We start from the raw sequence: 22058 nt of genomic DNA on the forward strand, positions 1-22058 counted from the left end.
AGGCAAGGGAAAAAATTTCAACAAATGCTGTTGCAACTATAATATATCCACATGCAAAAACATGGACTTCAAACCTTAACTCATCATTTATAAAAATAAATTCAAGATGTATCATGGATCTACATGTAAGAGCAAAAACTATAACATTTCCAGAAGAAACATAAGAAAAAAAGGGCTGGCCACAGTGGCTCAAGCCTGTAATCTCAGCACTTTGAGAGGCTGAGGCAAGAGGATTGCTTGAGTCCAGAAGTTTGAGACCAGCTTGGGCAACACAGTGAGAACCCATCTCTTAAAAAAAAAAAAAAAAAAAAGTAAAAATACATAAAAAAGGAATATACAAGATGATGTTTTAGAGACCTTGTGTTAGACAAAGATTTCTGAAATAACACACAAAAAGCATGAATTATGAAAGAAGAAAGTCAGCAAATTAAATTTGATCAAAATTGAAACCTTTTGCTCTTTAAAGGAAACTATTAAGAAAATGAAAAGGTAGCCTGGGAAAAATATTTGCAAAACATATTTTAAAAGGCACTTGTATCCAGAGTATATAAAGAACTCTTACAACTCATCAACAATCCAATAAAAATGGGCAAAATATTTGAACCATGGTTTTTCAACTATGCTATCAGAGACACTGGGGATGGATAATTTTTTCATTGTGGGGAGGCTGTCCTGTGAACTGCAGGTTGTTTAGCAGCCTCCCAACATCCACCCAGAGATGCCAGTAGGATCTGAAGTAGTGACATCAAAAAATGCCTTGAGATATTTGCCAAAGGTCCCATGGGAAGCAAAATTGCCTCAGATGAGAACTACTGATTTGGATAACATGTTAATCAGAGAGGAGGTACAGATGACAAACCTACAGAACCTATGATAATCAACTAGAAACTATGGAAAACAACACAGTTTGATAAAGTTATTTAATATGCAAATATTAGCAAGATGAAAATGCAATACTGTTTTTATGCCTGTACTGTGCCGTTTAAATTACTAGAGCTTTGTAGTAAATGTTTTCAAATCAGTAATTGTGATGCCTCTAGCTTTGTTCTTTTTGCTCAACATTATTTTGGTTATTCAGGGTCTTTTGTGGTTCCATATGAATTTTAGGAATGTTTTTTCTATTTCTGTGGGAAAAAAAAGTCATTGCATTTCGATAGGGACTGCATTGTTTCTGTAGATTGCTTTGGGTGGGATGGACCTTTTAGCAATATTAATTCTTCCAATACGTTAACATGAATATCTTTCCATTTATTTGTGTTGTATCCAATTTCTTTAATCAGTGTCTTATATTTTTCAGTGTATAGATCTTTCCTCCTTGGTTAAATTTGTTCCTAAATATTTTATTATTTTTTTGTAGCTATTGTAAATGGGATTGTTTCCTTGATTTCTTTTTCAAACACTTTGTTATTAGGGTGCAGAAATGCTACTGATTTTCATATGTTGATTTTGTATCCTGCAACTTTACTGAATTCATTTATTTTAACAGTTTTTTGGAGGAGTTTTTATGTTTTCTATTTATAAAAAACATAAAACATTAAATTGTCTATACAGATGACATGGTCTTATAATGAGATCAATTTAATTTCAGAGACAATTTAATTTCTTCTCTTCTGATTTGGATGTCATTTATTTCATTCTCTTGCCTAACTACACTGGCTAGGACTTCCAGTACTATGCTGAACAGAAGTGTTAAGAGTGGGCAACCTTGTATTGTTCCTGATCTTAGAGGAAGCTTTTAGCTTTTCACCACTGAGTATGATGTTAGTTGTGGGTTTTTCATATATGGCCTTTATTGTGTTGAGGTACATACTTTCTATACCTAATTTGTTGAGAGTTTTTATAATGAAAGGATGTCAAATTTTGTGAAATACCTTTTCTGCATCTATTGACAGGATTACATGGTTTTTGTCCTTCATTCTGTTAATGTGGCATATCATAATTACTGATTTACTTAGCTTGAATTATCTTTGCATCCCAGGGATAGATCCCACTTGATCATGGTGAATAATCCTTTTAATGTGCTGGTGAAATCAGTTTGCTATGTTTTTTCATGGAGGATTTTTGTATCTATGCTCATTGGTGATATTGGCCTGTAGTTTTCTTTTCTTGAAGTGTCCTTATCTGGCTTTGGTATCAATGTATTACATGTTTCATTTATTTAAGTTAAATAAAAGGACTAGAAACAAAAACAAGAAATTGCTAACTCTGAATGATAGAAATATAAATGAGAACTATATTATTTTTCTAAACTTGGCATTTCAAGAAATTATCAAAAGAATTCAAAGTTTCTAGAAGGTAAAATAAATAAGCACGTGTTTACCATGTCAGAAGACAAAGTACAAATTCATTTACAATACATACAGTTCAATAAATGATAGAAAAGAATTTGTTCAATAAATGGGAAGATGAATGAGCCTACTGAAAAATGAGCAAAGACAAAGAGTGGTCAATTGAAAAACACAAATTTACAAAGCCTATAACAATTAAGTAATTATATTAACAATTAAATTGCAAGGAAATTTTCTACACTAGATTGACCAAAAAAACTAAGTTTGAGGATATATATATATCTTCACCTCCACCCCATGATCCAGCTGTCCTACATCTGGACATTGGGTCCTCTTGACTATTTATATTAAATACAAGTACAAGTGCAAGGATTTTGATTGCAACACTGTAATAAAAAACCTAGATAATCCATATAGAAATCATATTGGAACTAGTTAAATAAGTCACCGTAGCTCTATACAACATAATTCTATGCACATATTAAATGAATTAGTTAGATCTCATTTGTAAGATAAGACTGTATATTTAAAAGACAGAAAATATGTTCTTAAGTGGAAAAAGCAAGTGTGGAAGATTATGTTCATTATTACTTTTTGGTTAAAAATATACATATATAGACATAGGAAAAGTTCTAGGAAGAAAAATGTCAAATGTTAGAAGTGGTAACCTATGTGGTTAGATTGTGATAGGACCTCCATTTTGTATGTTTTATGTGTCTGTACTGTTTCATTACCTCAACAATGTAATTTTTATACAAATTGATAAATTTTTATTTTAAAATGTATTTAGTTTTCAAGCAGCTCTTTATCAAAGACATGGTTCTATAAGTGGCTTGGGATCCTCAGTAGAATTTCTGAAGATTTTATTTAAAGGGAGTGAGAAAGTAATAGAATAGTATGTGTTTCTTTAGGCAATGTGCTGTATAATATTTTATTGTAATCTAGAGACTTTGTGGTAATTACTAAAGTTAAAGCAGTATTACCTTAAGCTGTTGACTCCCCTCCTAAGTAAAAATAATTTTAAAGAAACAAAATAATCTATGCTTTTCCACATGAATACAGTGTTTGAAATATTTATATATACATAAAGTAGGTCATATTTCACCCTAGTTGTCATCAATTCATCTAATTCTTGACATGATATATAATTTTTAATGACTTGCAAAAAATTCTGGAAGAACTCTCTCCAAAATCATCTAAGCATTAAGATCAAAAGTTTTAGTGACACTAAACAGAGGCAAAACTTAAGACAATACTTCCTCCTTTTCTATCATAAAATAGATAAGTTTAGCTCACAAAAACACAGTACAGGCAGCAATGGAGATTTTCCATAGCATCTTTTGATACATAGTACCGCTGCAAACTTCAACAAATTCCTAAGACATTTTAAAATTAGCAATTCAGTTACTAGCTCCAAAATAAATCATTGTATTTATGCAATGGCTGAGACAGTCTTAGGAACATGGTAGGAAGTCTCTCTGTGTCTGAGTGACTCAACAGTCTGACAGCCACCCCAAGTAATCCCCTTGAAGGTCCAAAGTCAGAATCATTTCTAAGATTTGTCATCTCTAGTAGAGTAGCTAATGTGCTCTCTTGGTCCCTTTTACTTAAGTGAATTCAATAAATGATGCTGGAAGTACTTCACTAGGTAGAGTCTGTTAATTTACTAAGAAAGGTGTTTGACTTCCCATAGAATGTACAAACTGAGTTTGTACTGAAGATTTCTCTAAGAACTGTCGTAATGCTTGGTATTTAAAGAATAACAACCAAAAAGAATACATTCAGCTGAGAGAATGGTTCATTTTAGGTGGCTTAATGAAGAAATAATTGGATACAATTTGACATTTACAATTTGATAATGATAGGTAGACTGTACTTGTCCCTTTACCAGGAGAACAACTATAGAACAGCTTAGGTTCATATGCAGAAGACACCTTATTTTTTTTCTGCCTTTTTTTATTTTTTTGAGATGCAGTGTCACTCTGTCATTGCCCAGGCTGGAGTGCAGTGGTGCCATCTCGGCTCACTGCAACCTCCACCTCCCGGGTTCAAGTGATTCTCCTGCCTCAGCCTCCTGAGTAGCTGGGATTACAGGTATGCACCACCATGGCCGGCTAATTTTTGTATTTGTAGTAGAGACGGGATTTCACCACGTTGGTCAGGCTGGTCTCGATCTGACCTCAGGTGATCCACCCGCCTCAGCCTCCCAAAGTGCAGGGATTACAGGCACGATCCATCGTGCCTGGCCTGTTCTGCATTTTTATTATTACATAAACAGTATTCTGGAAAGGCTGGAAAATTTAAAAATCGCCTCTCATCTTATTATGTTTTCCCACTTTCTGCCTTTATGCACATAAGTGATTATTTTACACAGTTTAATCACAACATATGCAATTTTATATGATTTTTGAATTCATTTTCCTAATGAAAAAGTGTTTCTCAATAAGCAACTTTCTTCTTAAAAATGACACAGCCATTTCAAGAGGGAAGGGTAGAAAAATATTTTAATTGAATCAGCTACTTATGAATATAGTATTTTATATTCCTTTTTGTAATATTTTGGAATCTCAGCAAAGTCGTAGATCTTTTCCTAATTCTGCTCTCATTAAGTTACTCTGAATCAAACCCATAAGTCTGAGTCTACTCCGTAGTGCAGTATTCCTGCTGAAATACTTAGAGATTGAAGTGCATTTGTTAGACACTTGCAAATTATCATTCGCTTAATCTGTAATGTAAATGTTCGCTCTTTTTCATTTCTAATTTTACTTGCTTGTGATTTCTCCTTTTTTTTGTTTCTTGATGGCTCACTGTCCAGTAGTGTCTCTTTTTAACAAATGTTTTTTGACTGCTTAACAATTTTGTGATTTACAATTTCTCCTTTGATCATCTTTGTGTCTTTCATTTGACTTCCTTATATTCACTGTATTATTCCATTTATGCCTTCTTGACTTAAAAACTGATCCTTTTTCTTTTAAAAATATAAGTATTAAAAGCTACATATACTGTATCCGGAGGTGTGCGGGGATTATTTTTCAATTCTTAAAATGTGCAAATATGCCTTTTGATTTAAAAGTTGCTTAAAGGTACATTTTTTAATTTTGAGGATATGTTAGTTATGAATTTGTTAATGATTATATTTTGTATTTTATTGCATTGGGTCAGACTGTAGAATGTATTTATATTTCAGGGCTAAAACAATGTTTTTGTCACTTAGTAGTCCATTTTGTAAATTTCTAAGCAAGTTTAAAAATGGTTTCTGTTATACAGGTTTTAATCATATGCATATATATGTTGTATTTATGTATATTTCACATATACATATATGTATAAACATATATATGTATATATATATTTATCCATATTATGTAATCCTTACTAATAATTCACATCTTTCATATCTTTTTGTTTACTTACTTTTCTTCCTTTCACATCTTTTGGTTACTTACTTTTTTTTTTTTTTTTTTTTTGAGACGGAGTCTTGCTCTGTCACCCAGGCTGGAGTGCAGTGGCACTATCACGGCTCACTGCAACCTCTGCCTCCCGGATTAATGCCATTCTCCTGCCTCAGCCTCCCGAACACGCCTGGCTAATTTTTTTGTATTTTTAGTAGAGATGGGGTTTCACCATGTTAGCCAGGATGGTCTCGATCTCCTGACCTCGTAATCTGCCTGCTTCGGCCTCCCAAAGTGCTGGGATTACAGGTGTGAGCTACCATGCTCAGCCAAGGTTACTTACTTTCTTAATCTGTCTTGGGCGGGGGGTTGACAGAGGTTAATTAAAGCCTATAATCACCATTGTGTTTGTCAGTTTCTTTTTTTAACCTTCCTTTAATTTATGCTATATGGGTTTTTGTGCAATAGAATTTGGGTATACATACTTATACCCTCATTATGACCTTTAATATTTACTACAAATTTCTTATTTATAGCTCTGTTGACATAGTTTATCTTGAATCTAGCTTTGTACAATAAAAATCAACAGCAGCTTTGTTCTTGTTAGTACTTCTAGTATATTTAACCTTTCTAAATCTAAGTTAGAACGTTTCTAATTCTTATTCTAATTCTTCTAAATTAGAATCTTCTAATTCTAATAAGAACCTGTTCTTATGTTTGGTTTGAAGAAATCACACAACATACATTCTTATACACGAAAGTGTCTGTCCATCATCTAGATTCAAACTTCCTGGAGAGCTCCATATTTATTAATTTTTGAATCCTTTAAAATTCCCAGGGCCACGCATAAAGATTGGATTTAAAATATATTTGTTAGCTGACTTGAAATGTCAAAAAGAGTGAATCATCAGCAATAGAGCTGAAAAATAATCGACAATCCAGTGGTGATAAATTTGGGGCAGGAATTTTCCTGGCCTCCCTGGAAGCACAAAACCTCAGTTGCTACATCCTTCAACAATGTGCACCTGCTATTTCTGTACTTGGCACAGACTAATCGGACAGACACACTTCTAGTCAATAAGAAAGAAAGCACAGTCCCTTTTCAGTCACCTTGCCTTTACTACCAATCAATCCACAGGCAGTTCTACTTTGGAACGAGAGTTTAACTGCCCTGCTTGCTTCTCCGAGATCAATGTAATGGCTGAGAACAGCAATAAAGGAATAATTCAAACAAGTTTAAAATTCAAAGAAATACAGACAATTCACAGGCCTGAGAAAGAACCGCATCCAATGTAAGACGTTCTCTCTTTCCTCATTTCACTTAAGCCTCTTGTTATCTCTGCATCCTTGTAAGTTATGCTTCACTTACTTTAAAAGTTAGTCTTCCCAAATATCCTTTGATAGACATATTTCTGAATTCTTTACAACAACTTTTGAAAGAATAAGGCTGCAGTCACTGCATTTTTCTTCCTATGCTAGGCTCAAGTAGAAACTTAAAAAACATTTAAAAAGCAACTCCAAGGGTCAGTTGGTCTATCTGTTCTACCCACAGTAAAAAGAGTTTTGCCTTGAGAACCCCGAAAAACGTGAGATGTGGTGGAGAAATGTGGATAGGTTTGTTTTGTAGAAAAAAGGATTATATTTTTTAAAACAGCCATGTATGCTTAGAAGATAATCTACTAAGTGTTGTATTTCTGGATACAAATGGAAAAAAAAAACAATCACAGCTAGATAAAAACCAAACACTCGACTGATAGGAAGCTACGCTGAATGAATGCTTATCAGATTACCAGAACAGGTACTCTAAGTATGAAAATGCATGGTGTCTGGTATTTGAAAAAATTCAAAAAATCTCAAGAGCGCCTATGGCTTAGGGAAAGGAATACCTCTTCTCCTCTCTCCTTCTTTTGGTAAAGAGGAAAACTAATTTTGAAAGGTCATGTTCTTTGAGTATTAGTCAGTATAGTTTTCAATACTATAAGGTATTTTTTTTCACAATATATCAAACTAATGACATTGTTTTCTGAAATCGTATCAGTCAAGCTTTGTATACTCTGGTATGAAGTAATCATGATAATAAGCTGAAGTTAAAAACAAAAATAAATGAAAAGGATGGTAGTTGGGGGAAATAGAAATGTAGCAAATAGCAAAATATAGAAATGTTTAGATTTATTATTCACTCCACTTTTTATTTATTTTTATTTATTTTTTATTTTTTTTTCTTTTTTCTTTTTTTTTTCCACTCCACTTCTTAAATGGTTGTAACAGTAACAGGTGGAAGATAGAAAATGTTCTTTATTTCTAAAACCTTATTAGGGTTGTGAATTTTGCTCTTACAGCTTTGAAAGAAAAATTGGAAAGAAATTGAGCAATATGGTTCTCTAGTATGATATACATATATATTTGACAGAAACTAAATACATTCAAATCCAGGCAAATGAGTATCTTTTCTTTGTAAGTGTCAAAAAATATAATTTGGTTTCCAATTCATTTATATACTTCAGGTTTCTGTATTCTTTATCACTCTTCCCAAGTTAAATTTACAAACTTTGTGTCAGGTCACTCACTGCAGATGACTGAACAGGTGAGGAGCACTCTGGTACCAAGCACCCTTGTACATGTGTTGAAACCGCTGAGCAAGCTACAGTCTCATTTGTCAAAGTTTTCACATTCTGACAAAACTGACATTTTTATTCCAGGGATGAGAAATCTGCCCCTGGTCTTTTCTTCGTATTTAAATTTAAAGGGGGTAGAAAGCAAATAATCTTTTTAAAAAGTGTGAACACACATCTGACAAACATTCATGCCTTTGAATAATGGACGGGTAATTTTAAATACCCACTTAGATTCTTAGGCTCTTTAAGTCAAATGGCCCAATTGTTTCTTTTTCTTCTTCTTTCTTGAGACAAGGTCTTGCTCTGCCACTCAGGGTAAGTGCAGTGGTGCAATCACAGCTCACTACAGCCTCAACCTCTCAGGCTCAAGGGATCCCCCTACCTCAGTCTCCTGAGTAGCTGGGACTACAGGCACGTGCCACAACACCCAGTTAGTTTTTTGATTTTGTAATTTTTTTTAGAGATGGGATCTTGCTATGTTGCCCAGGCTGGTCTCGAACTCCTGAACTCAAGCAATCCTCCCACCTTGGCCTCCCAAAGTGCTGGGATTGCAGGAGTGAGTCACCACACCTGGCCTCCCAATTTCTTATTTATCTTTTGTTTGTATAAAACCTACTGAAAATGATGACTCTAATTCAATTCAGTGGGGCTCTCCCTAGCTTCCATGGTTTGGAGAACATCACTTTTCTACTTTTGTGCTACATACACATATACACAATAACTCTGTATACATTTTTAATTCACAATGCTTTCTAAACAAACTTCCTCTGTGGTGGTAGATCTCATATGGAACAGAATACAAACCCCACAGTTTATAGATTTGGGCTGCAGCAATACTGGCTAAAAACAGTTGTCTGGTGCTGAGTTGTATCTTCTCTGAATTCCATCAGAATTTAAGTTACAGGATGGATTTAGAAATAAATGGCTCAAGTGGCATAATGAAAGTTGTGACTGGTGGGAAAATGCACCTAAAAGAACTGCAAATTCAATTCAAAAAATATTCAGAAATCTTACACATTTTGTGTTTTTGACCTAGGTCTTTAGGTCCTGAGGTTTTGAGGTTAAAAACAGAAAGAAACACCATCTATTCTCCATGGCAAAAACGGCTTGTAATCCCCCAATATCCATTTTTCTCTTCATCCAGAAGAAGAGAACCACTGATTTTTAGCCAGATATATAGTTCCTGAGAATAGAGATAATACTTCTCAGCCTCCTTTGAAGCTAGGTAAATCCGAGAAAGTTTCGGCTAAAAAGATATATGCAGAATTTGTGTAGCAATTAAAGGAATTTTCCTTAAAGAGACAGCTGAAGCTTTTGCTTCTTTATATCTACACTGCCCCCTGGAATGTTGATGGGATGGAACTCTAGCTTCCATCTCTGACCATGAGCATGAAGGTCCCACCCAGGAATGCTCCAGGAACGCTGGAGCAGCAAGGCAGAAGAAGCATGTCCCTGACAGCTGTGTGAAGTGGAACCACGAGATCATCCCTAGACTGACCTGAATGGGCTTTCACAGGAGAAAGAAACCCTTCCTGTGTTTAAACCATTGTGATCCTGGGCCTTTGTTCTTTCAATTGGACTGAATCCTAATGGATACGCTCTCAATGAAGGCGCATATTGAAGAAGTAATTACATGTGTAATGAAAATAGAAGTAAAGAGTGTTTTAGAGGCTAAGCATATTGTCTATGCATTGTCTGTCTCCACACTTACTACTAATTAAGTGGTAGAAATGACATTTTTAGAATTCATTTTCTTTGGCTCAGTAATTTCTTTTCTGAGCATTTATCCTAAGAGGACAAATCTTAAACACAGATAAAACTTCTTGCATGATGATGTCTATTACAGCGTTATTTATAATAGTAAAAGCACGCTCACTGTTCAAAGGAAACAAACACAAATTTACATTGCATTGAATATTGTGTAGGTAATAAATATATAACCATGAGGACTATATAGCAGCATATGATATGCTTCTAAGTCTGTTTTAAAACAGCATTAAAAGCTGTATATATAGCATAACTATACACATAGGAAGAATGAGAATATATAAAAACTGCTGTTATTAGTTATATTTGAATGATATAATTACTGATATTAAATTTTAATTTTGAAGATACATCATATTTAATTTTTTAACATTCTAAATTTTCTTTAATGAGCATGTGCCAGCTAACATAAAAATCACGTCAAAACAAACTTAAAAAAAATTTCCCTGGCTCTAGGAAACTATCAAGATAAAATGAAATAGGGACAGTAATAAGGTCTTGCAATTACATTTAAAATAGTAACACAAGGTTAGGGTGTCTGACTTACAGTATCTCAGAGGCCTGACCTACAGTATCTCATATGAAAGAAACACAAGAGTTTTAGTTGACTGTAAGCTCAGTATGAGTTGATAGTGGTGTGATGTGACTATTAAAAAAGCTATTCTTAAGTGATATGGAAGAATAACCGTAAGGTTCAAAAAAGGATAGTAACAACCTATTGATCTATGTACTCATCAATCCAGTTTTAGAGCACCATTATCAGTTCTTGGCAACACATTTTAAGAGAGACTTTGACTACTGCCACATGTCCACAGGAGAGTGTGTTGAAGGTATCTGGAGAAAATATTATATGAAGAGTCATTAAAGAAATTAGGGATATTTACCTTAAATACATGTTCACAACCAAGGCACGTTAATTGACTTCAAACATGTGGCGTGTGCTAGAAAGATCAGATTTAGACTCCATAGTTTGAGGGATAGAATCAGATCCAATATGAAGCAAATTATGAGGCTTTTATGAGACATGAAGAATTTAAGACATATATTGTTTAAAATCTTATTTTTAATTCTGTCTTCTTTCTATGACCCTTTGGGCACATATAGTCCATTTCCTCCTTGTCTATTAATGAATATTTGAATTTTTACTAAAATCAAAATCCTATTTTGACAAGAAGGCATTAGTTAATACTTTTATTTATGAAACAATATAAACCGAACCAAACCTTGTAAATAGTAAGAGTCTTATTCAGCTCCAAGATTTTGTTGCTGAATCTGTATCTATCTGAAATACCACCCAGTCAATACCTTTAAAGTATAAACTTCTTTCAATATATTATCTTTTTTGAACTTAGCAACAACCCTGCATCATAAAGATTATTTGATTTTTGTCCTACATATTTGTGGTCGGATTTTTCACCATGGTTTTGACTTCTTTCTCCATTTTGGTATTCTATTTCAATTGACTTAATGCAAATTCTGCCAATCTCTTTGTGGAACAAAGGAGGCCACGGGAGTGCAGGGGAAAAGACTCTCATATTAGTAAATCAGGAAATATAGGTTTCTTCAAGGCCATATAACTCAACTATGAAGCAGATGTGACTAGAACTGAGAGCCTCTGATTCCAGGCCGATTTCTGCTCTCTCACGGCTGCCCCTCCAAACTCCTATTTCTCTCCTTCTCTAGTCTAGGGTTATCACTATGAACTAGCAGATAACACAGTAAATAGTGATATGGACAGGAGGCAAGGAAATTCTGGGTAGAAGAGGGTGCTTCCCCGGCAAAGGCCCCCACCTCAAGCCTGGAAACCTGGTGGCCCTAAGTGGGAATAGGCATTCCTGTTTTCATGCTCAAATGTTGCCTTTTCCAAGACCACTCTGGCCTGCCACACCCCTATCCTGTGCTCATATAAACCCTAAGCTCCACAAGCAGAGGAACAGAACAGCAGCAGAAAGGTACAGCAGAGAAGGAGAAAAGAGAAGGAGCATTTGAACATCAGGAGGTGTTTGGCTGGGGACAGTCAGAGAGGAGATTGGCTGTGGGATGGCCAAGCTCCAGGGGAAGATCATCTTCCCACTCCATCCCCTTTCCAGCTCCCCATCCATTCTGCTGAGAGCCACCTCCATCACTCAGTAAAATCCCCACGTTCACTATCCTTCAAGTCCATATGACCTGATTCTTCCTGGATGCCAGACAAGGACCCGGGTACCAAGAGGGCAGGGTGTAAAAGGATGTCACCCTAACTCTCCACTGAGCTGGTTTAACACTTAGCCATCCATGGATAGCAACTGCTAAAAGAGCACTAATTGTAACACACCTCCAGATGCTACTGTGGGGCCAGAGCCCAGAAGCACTTGGCCCAGCTCCTGCACCGGCCCATCTGCATGCCCCATGTCCTGTAAGGGGGTGCGGGCCAAGCAAATGAGCCACGCCCCTGTCACAAGTCCTGTGAGGGGGTCAGGGAACGCTCCCATTTCATAAATAGATCTCCAGTAACCTCATTTAATACATCAATTTCTTGGCATTCTTAAATTCTAAGTAATTTTTCATCATGTTTATGTTTGTCTTAACAACCTCACTTCAACTGGAATCTACAAGGTATGACTAAAGTTCAAAAAGATGGGCCAACTAGATAGGACTAAGTTTTCTGGATGCAGAGAAGAAAATTACCACCCCCATATATATGTTGTTCATGTCTGTTCTTCAGGAAGTCAAATGTAGTCAATAAACGTGACCAAGATATGTCTGCCCTTCCCCCGACACACACACAACTTTAGAAGGATGCTGAGACATCACGTTATCTAAAGAGCATTAGATAATCTATATAAGCAGTTGTAAAACTTTAGGAAATGCAGTACTACTGAAGTATTTGTTTTTTTGTAATGTAGGTCAAATGATTCTTCAACCCAGAGGTGTAGGCTCCCTATCCACCCCTAGGCTGCCTAGCTTTCCAGTTCAGGTACTTTTATTTGAGAAACCAGCCATATTTGACTGAATTACCATGCTGAAATCCTAGATTCTTTTCCTAGCCCTCTCACTCTAACTAGCAATTCTCTGAGACAGAAAGTAAAAAGACTTGGGGAAAGGCACAGGCCAGAAAAGACAGCCTCAATGTTCCAAAGACATGCCATATCCCCCAACCCTACCCAGCCACCCCGAGAAAACAAGCTAGAGCCTATAGTTTACATTAATTGCTCTCTGGTTAGAGGTTACTTTTCTGGTAGGCCAGAGGCTGTTTCCAGGAGTACAGAATAAAGCCATCATCAATCATTCATCAGTTACAATTACCATTTGCATCCATTTAATGACAGCCTGCAGTAGCTACCACCCATGAACAGTCCAAAATCAGAAACACAGAAACATTGAGAGTGATTATAATATAATTGCCTACAAATTCTCTAACACTATCAAAGATATATGTCTCGCCCGTTCATGTTTCATTTAATGAGTAATACATGTTCTCTCCCCCGCATATCACATGCCTATAGAGGGGTAAAGGAGGGTAGAATAGCGCATGGCAACCAGAATATATGGGCCATCATATGCCAAATTTCTTCAGACTAGAAAAGGCACAAATCCTTTGGGGTGCTCATTCCTGGGACTGTGGTTTTAAGCATGGTCTCTTTTTATGTATATAACCACATGAAGTGCATAATTATGCAAAGCTGCCTTATATTTCCATTCATCTTCCACTCTGCTCTTGCTCATGTATCTCCCCAATCATCATCTTCCTATTGCTGTTTTTTCTTTCTTTTTTTTTTTTCAACCGGGCTTTATCTCGGCAGTTTTTACATCAGGTTCTTTTCAAAATTACACTTAGCTTTGACATTTCTACATGTTCACTTTATCCATGACACCTTTTGGGTGTCATCACAAATACTAAAGCTCTAAAGATGGTCACTGACAGGAAACTAAATGACCTTCCTTTTTTCCTGTATTCCGAAATGTCTCCTGCCTCTTTTCATAATCGTGCACACATGTGTGCATGTGTGTGTGTATGTGTGTGTGGACTCAGAATCATACCTCATTGGCCAGACATATACTGAATTGGTTTCTGTTTACTTCTTGTTGTATCATTCACATGCTTATATACTTTCTACTCTATACGGCCTAGTTTAAAGGACTTGAACCGTCTAAACGTTTGTTTTCCAATCTCTAATTTGAAAATGCTAATAGCTATTTTATAGGGTTTTTATGATGAGTAAATAATGCCTAAGACTGCACAAGGCATTTAAATCTGCATTTAATAAAGGTTTCTTCCTCTTCCCCTTTCTCACGTGCTCAAATAAGTCAAAGCTTTCTTTTATCATTTTTTATTTTCTAGAGACAGGGTCTCATTCTGACGTGCAGTGGTGCAATCATAGCTCATTGTATCCTCAAACTCGTGGGCTCAAGCTACACCGGCACCTCAGTCTCTCGAGTAGCTAGGACTACAGGCACACATCACCACATTCAGCTACATTTTTTAAAACAGATGGGGTCTTGCTATGTTGCCCAGGTTGGTCTTGAACTCCTGGCCTCACAAAGTGTTGGGATTATAGGCATGAGCCACCACATCCAGCTAAAATGGTAAACCTTTACCTGAATATTTATGTATAACACAATTTATTTTGAAAAGATATATTTAAATAATATAACACCTAGGTGATAGCAACATTATTTTGTTGTTAAAGGATACAATTCTAGCAAGACTTAAATTGTATTAATTCACTGTAATAAGGTACAAAGACCTAGGAAAATAAGAATTTCTCTAGTTAAATGATGCCTATGTCACATAGGCTGGCCTTGCTATTGGATGTATAAATATAGCTAAAAAACTTTGTAAGAAACTTCATGTTTTGTTACACTTCATGCTTGCCATTTTAAAATCTTAACACATTAAATTGAAGGATGGCATGGGAGGGAGAAAAGGGGAGCAAAAAAAAAATTAACTGTCGAGTTACCTCAGATGGATTTAACATAATTTCTTTTGTTTTTATGGTAAAAGAATCAGTTGCTGTTTGCATCTTAGTTGAAAATACCCTCAAGGAACTTGAAAACTTTGGTCGAGACAAAGTACTATTTTCGGTTCACTATCTCCTCCCCTTTCTCAGCCCACACTCAGATCTGTTCTTTCCCTACAACGGGTGCTGAAACCTCTGTACTCCTCAGTCCTGTTATATATGAAGCAGCATAAAAATTGCCTTCACTGGGGTGTATGACAGGCCTATCTTTAGCCTGTAATAATATGATAATTAGGTTCCAGGATATTTTAAGTGGAAGGAGAAGGTGGGTTGCTCAGTTGCCAGGATGCTCATTCCTGCTTCCGCATGTAGATCTATATTCTCCCTCCTGCCTGGAATGTTCGTTTTCCATCTCTCTCACTTGCCTCTTTCACTTTTTCGCCTATTTATCTTAGACAATTGCTAAGGCTCAACTCAAAGGCCTTCCCAGAGCATGACCGTGATTTCTCCTATACTTATACTTCTTGCTACCTATTTTCTGAAATACATACATAACTGTATTTTGCTACATACTGTCTTCTTCATCTATGTAGATCTTATGTCTTCCAAGTGACTATGATGCTCTTCAGATCAAACAGGATGCATGAGCACTGTGCTTGCTAGGCTTACAGGGATGAGTAATATTTATATTGATGTTTCTTAGAACTTGCAATTTTATTTGACAGGGAAAGATGATCTCTCATGCCTTCAATGTTCAGCAATTGGATGTTTTTAGACTGTTGCAAAACTAAATAATGAACAAGTAATGTTAAAGCCAATTAAAATGGAGCTCAAATGCCTATGTGTAAGATCTAACTTGAATCAATTTACTGTTGTGTATTTTAGTTTTTTTTTTTTTTTTTTTTTTTTTTTTTTTTTTTTTTTGAGACAGTCTTCGCTCTGTCGCCCAGACTGGAGTGAGGTGGTGCGATCTCGGCTCACTGCAAGCTCCACCTCCCAGGTTCACGCCACTCTCCTGCCTCAGTCTCCTGAGTAGCTGGGACTACAGGCGCCCGCCACCATGCTCGGCTAATTTTTTTGTATTTTTAGTAGAGATGGGGTTTCACCGTGTTAGCCAAGATGGTCTTGATCTCCTGACCTCATGATCCGCCCGTCTTGGCTTTCCAAAGTGCTGGGATTACAGGCATGAGCCACCGCACCCAGCCTCAAATTAGTTTTTATGAACATTATCTTTACAGACTTTAAAATGCTTTGACCATGGGTATGTTATAAAACTAGAAGCCATTTAAAGATATTTTATATAGTAAAAATGGGTTAATACACTCATCAGCAGTTATGCATGATTATCTAAAGGAGTAATGGGATTTATGGTACATCAATTCTATAAATATATCCAACTGTTTATACAGCATTTCTTAGAGGTAACATGCAAAATGAAATATGCAGAAAAGAACTTGAAAAAATACCCCTTGTTCACATATTTTGAGATGCGACATTAGAGTTATTTATTCATAAGAATTTCATAATACATTAGTAAGCATGCCGCAGGATATTTTGGAAAAGTAATGAAGGCTTAATAATGCAAAATTTTTCTCCAGCCTTCTTTTCTAAGAAACAAATGAGGTGAGACTTTCATTTAAGGCTAAGACTTTAGCTCTTCCTGTTCATAATCTCATTTATCACTTCGTCCTGTGCATTTGTATATCTGCTTGTTCTTTTATGAATCTGCTCCCGCTCCTCTGCTAGACTCTAAGCCCTCTAGAGACAGATCCAGGATTTGACCCCTTTTTGCAAGGCCTAGTGGCAGAGTGTCCATTGTAAAGTACTTGCACATGATAAGAGGAATAAAAGCTTGCCAGACAGACAAGGGGAAAGGAATGAGAATGAATGTGAATGATGATCTAGTTAGCACCTACTGTCTACTCAAGACTGTGCCACTATGCTACCTTGGCATTTGATCAAACTTATTAATCCGCACAGCTACGTTTACCCAAAATCTTCATGCAACATTTACTGAAAGCATCTTCACTCCTTGGCAGTTTTCTCCGCATGTCCCCAGGGAAACTCATAAACAGATGAGGACATTAAATATACATGTGGTACTGTGAGTTCTGGATTGTAATGGTCGGGGTAGGAGTACAAGGGAGAAAGGCTCTTTGAAAAAGCGAGGAGCTGGCCTTAGCGAGAGCATATTGGCAGGTAGAGGAGCAGAAATATCAGCAGGAAGGTGGGAACAATTTGGGAGGTGCTGGAGTCTGAAGGCAGTTTGCTGTTGCTGGACTGAAAAGGGCAAGGCACAAAATAGTGAGGAATGAGTATTTAACAACAGACCATGTCCTAAAGGACTTGATGACCTAGTAAATGGGCTTGAGCTTCGTCTTCTGGGTAGGCAATGAGCATCCATCAGCTATTTAGGGAGGAGAGTAACAAGATGTTTTGGATAGTTTACTCTGGCGTCACTCCCTGGTTAAAACCCTTAGATGATTCCCTAATGCTCTTCGAATAAAACACACACCTCCTGCGATGGCCTACCAGTTTTCCCTCCTGCCTACCTTTTTCTCTCATATCCACACCAAATTCAGCCACTATTCCCTGTCCTAGGTCTCTTTACTGGTCTTCAGAAGCGCCAAGGCCTTTGCATTTTACATTTGTTCCCCCTCTGCCCAGATTCCCTTTCCTCAGCTCTTCTTGCGGTGGGTTCTTTCTCATTCTGTAGATCTTACCTCTTCAAAGGGATCTTTCACAGAAACATTATTAATGGGACCTTCCTCCATTATTCTATGTGTTTTGAATTTGCTAATTTACTCTATAGCACTTATCATACTGTCTATCTTGATAGTTACACTTTTGTTATACTTGGTATATTATCACTTCCCTCCCAGAATGTCATAGGAGCCCTTGAATTCTTGAATTTGATTTATCACAGGCACGTTAGCACAGTGGTACCTGGTACATGGACACCACTTAAATAAATGTCTGTGTGTGTGTGTGTGTGTGTGTGTGTGTGTGTGTGTGTGAATATATGAATATAATGAATATACTTAGAAGGTGAGTTAGAGGAAGACGCCCAGTGGTAGGGTCAGAATTTGCATCTAAGGCTTATCTGACTCTAAATTTCACCTTTATCCACTATCCAAAATATTCCTCTTTGTTTTAGAGTAAATATATATTCCATTCATTCATATTGTGAAGCAAATGCTATAGATGATGACTCAGCCTACAGACACTGTTCTCAAGACAAAACCAAATATAAAATAAGTAAAAATGCATTTAACTTGCCTAAGAGATACTTTTGTGCTATGAAAGCATATATCTATCTATAGAACTATTATAACACAAAGAATGTTTTAATTCTTACATGGTTAATTAGCAAATCTGGGGAAAGATACGGTGTTTCCCCATTTATTTCTCAGAAAAGCCTTAAGAAAGACAATAGAGAAATAACCTCCGTGCAAAAAAAGCTATTTTTATAATATGTCAAAGCACATTAATATCCTCTACAGCATTTTAGCACCAAAATTAACAAGTGGAATTTCTTAAATAAAATTAAAGTCTGTCTTATACAAACTTAGGCTGGTTTTCTTTTGCTTCCTTTTTATATTGCTTCATATAGTATTTGTACCCTACCTTGGGAAATATATGCAAAATTCTCTAAAATAAATTTGATATACTAAAATGATCTTAATTTACTACATACGTCTAGATCCTTTTATTCTATTTTTTTAAGTCAGGTAATACTCTATACCATAAGCTAAATAATATACAGCAATTAAAATATTATGTATTTCCCTTAAGACAAAGAAATATATCCAGTCAGAAATAACTTCCTATCAGGAATAATGGGTGAGGATAATATTAAAGGTGTAACTTCCATTTTGAATTCAATTCAATTTCAACCCCTTTTTAATGATATAAGTTCTCAAATATTATAATAGCATGCTTCAGGATCATCTGAGATTCTTAATAAACATGAACACTGGCAGGCCCCAACCTATGTGATGTGGCGCTCAGATATATACATTTTAAAAGTACTTCAGGAAATTATGGGGGGAAATGGGGGTGATGTTTTACATTTTCTAAATTTCTGGAGCTCTACCAAAAGAAAAAAAAAGATTCTTGGGAAGATACCTAAATTTTATAGTACCTATAGTTTATAGCACTTTTCCATCCATTATTTCACGTAATTTTCAGTACAACAGTAATATAGGAAGAAGAGGTATAGGTGTGCCCATTTTAAAAATACAAACCAAAATTCAACTGACTATCTTTCCACATTTGTTCTACTTACTAGCAAAGTACAGTTATATTTATTCAGTCAAATAACAAATATTTGAAGACCTGCTTTTGTGCCAGGCATTGTTCTAAATACTTGGAATAAATCAGTGAACAAAATAGATAAAAATCTTTCCCTCATGGTGATTATGTTCTGGCAGTTGGAGACAGATATGAGCAGTAGAGATAATAAATACATAAATAATGAAACTAATATTCATTCCAATACGATCTATTCAAGGTAACCAGAAAGTCATCTTACACAGATTATCAAACAAATTTTTGAAACAAATGGGCTATCCAGTTCATCAATTTAATAGGAAACACAACACTCCTTTGCCTTAGGAGTCTAGGTAATAGAGCCTTAAGTACAGCAACAGCATTTTGCAAATATGCAACCATTTTTCTATGTAGCAACAAAGCCTTACTGTATGTACACAGCTAATTCTAAACACATACACATCTTATTTCCCTTGTGGCTACATTATCTGAAGTGCAGAAGAGAAACAGAATCCACATTATCCAATCTATTCTGTAGATGGCACTGCAGGTCCAACAGTGGGCTTGGCTCATAAGTCTTGCTATCACTGTCGGGCTCAGATAAGTGTCACATTGAACTGCAGGAAAACCACATTCATTCTAAAAGCAGAAATCACTTTGCAATGGCAACCGTCTTATACAATTGCAGGACACAACTCCAATTTGTAATTTATTTGAAATTTTTCTTATAATGTATTAGGTCCCACAAAGGCTGAACTGGTGAAATCATTCTGTTTATCTTGTAGCATCTATTTTAGTTTATTGCCAGGAATAGAATAATGTCTGTTCCCTAAAGTGGAAAAATGTTTCATTGATAAACCTATACATTATAAATCATTCCTGTGGGCTCTAGGTCTGACTAAACCAAAGGCATGCTTTTTATGGCATTTGAGTTTCACTTCCTACCCCAGGAAGTTAAGTAATATTCTGCAGGGAGGCAGATTAATGTCCGCTGAAGGTAAAGGATGAAGGGATAAAGTCAGAGGTACTGCACCACAGTTGGACTCTAATGCCAAGGAGGGTGAGCCTCTCATCTTGAGCCAGAGCAAGAGCTGCTGGAAGTCAGCTGAAGTATCTAAGAAAGAGAAAAGTCAGGCTTTGGGTCCTGAAACCCAGACTTCTATTTTATCTTGTATTGACTGATGGATTGATTAACCTTTCTGCAGGGGTCACTAATGGCGAACGTAATGCAACTATAGAAGAAGGAACAAAACAATTCAAACTATGCCATAGGAATTGGACTAGTATCTTTTCCCATACACTTGAATTACACTTATTTTTTTTTTTTCTGGCAAAAAACAAGTTCTAGCCCAGAAAACAAGTCATGGTTGATCAGACATTCAATCGCATATTCATCAGACTGGCTTTTCTTTACAGGTACATCCTGAAACATATATAGTTGGGACGGCAATTCTAAGCAGTTTATTATCATGGCAAGTCGAGTGTCAAGTTGAAGTTTCTCAATTAAAAAAAAAAAATTCTAGCCAGGCACGGTGGCTCATGCCTGTAATCCCAGCACTTTGGGAGGCCAAGGTGGATGGACCACTTGAGATCAGGAGTTCCAGACCTGCCTGGGCAACATGGTGAAATCCCATCTCTACCAAAAATACAAAACAATTAGCTAGGCATAGTGGCTCATGCTTGTGGTCCCAGCTACTCAGGAGGCTGAGGTGAGAGGATCGCTTAAGCCTGGGAGGCAGAGGTTGCAGTGAGTTGAGATGGCTCCACGTCACTCCAAGCTGGGTGACAGACTGAGACTCCATCTCAGAAAAAAAAAAAAAAAATCTTAGATAGCTGAGAAAACCCAGTCCTCCTACAGTCCTCACCCTCTTGGCTGTTTCTGCTCTGTGTGAAACTGTGCCATGCAGGCTGTACTGAGCTCTTGCAGCTGATGAACACTGGGTCGCCCAGGCCAAGGCAATAGCTACTGCCATGGCTACTCTCTCTTGCCTTTTGTCTGAGTCAGTTACTTTAAGAGACTGACAGGAGAAGATGAGGTGTTCTCTTTCTCTCCCTTCCTTAGCGTGTGTTGCTTCAAGCAGTCACTCATATTTCCCACTCATATGGCCAACTGAACCTTAGTGACTTTTACCAAGAGTGTGGAATAATACAGAGACAGATGCTTCAGATCCAGACGCAGTCTGAGGGTGCTAGAATGATGAGAAAGCCAGGTGGCAATCTGGGCACACAGAGAAAGAAAGGATGTAATACATCAGTCCTGACCCACAGTTCCTCAGCTCACCACAATTATTTTATTTTTCAATTATCGAGGAATTGAGGTACTGAAAGGAATCTGACAAAGACCCAGGGCTCTTAGAGTCCTGGGGGGCAACAGCATGGATCAGAAAACCAACAGACTGTCAATGCAATGCCATTACTCTTCTTTTTCTATAGCTCAGGTTTCAGTGCACGGCTGAGTGGTTTGCCTTAAAGAAGTCACAAAATTTACTACAAGGTCAATGCATCATTTGGCATAATAATTTCAGTAACTCTAATATCACACATGATGTATTTTAATTGAGAAAAAATCAAAATGACAACTTTTTAGTGAGGCCCTGATTCAGCACTCATTGTTCTGTGCATTCACAGTTGGCGGTTACCAAGGGGGGGAGCTGTCCAAGAGGATTCTGCTCTCTGCCCTCCAGCTAAAAACAATCCTATAGGCTACTGGTACAAATTAACTTAGACCTCAAGCATATCAATTATTATTTGTCTCAATTCGTGTCTTTTGTAGGCAATTATTTG

At 36.5% G+C, this 22058-nt stretch overlaps 1 protein-coding gene across 40 annotated transcripts in view, besides 2 other annotated features; it reads right to left on the minus strand.

Moving 5' to 3' along the window:
- TPK1 (thiamin pyrophosphokinase 1) overlaps nucleotides 1-22058 on the minus strand; it is a 384497-nt gene that overhangs the window by 41766 nt on the left and 320673 nt on the right. The window lies entirely within an intron of this gene.
- Nucleotides 15230-15279: a silencer, noted in NCBI's record as "silent region_18729". NCBI's record gives its function as "represses an Ori minimal core promoter by ATAC-STARR-seq in GM12878 lymphoblastoid cells {active_cell/tissue: GM12878}" and the evidence as "EXISTENCE:reporter gene assay evidence [ECO:0000049][PMID:35858748]".
- Nucleotides 19630-19924: a silencer, noted in NCBI's record as "tiled region #13519; K562 Repressive DNase matched - State 13:Ctcf". NCBI's record gives its function as "represses a minimal TATA promoter and a strong SV40 promoter by Sharpr-MPRA in K562 cells {active_cell/tissue: K562}" and the evidence as "EXISTENCE:reporter gene assay evidence [ECO:0000049][PMID:27701403]".

The sequence above is a fragment of the Homo sapiens genome, chromosome 7 (genome assembly GCF_000001405.40).
Source record: "Homo sapiens chromosome 7, GRCh38.p14 Primary Assembly".
NCBI classification, from domain to species: Eukaryota; Metazoa; Chordata; class Mammalia; order Primates; family Hominidae; genus Homo; species Homo sapiens.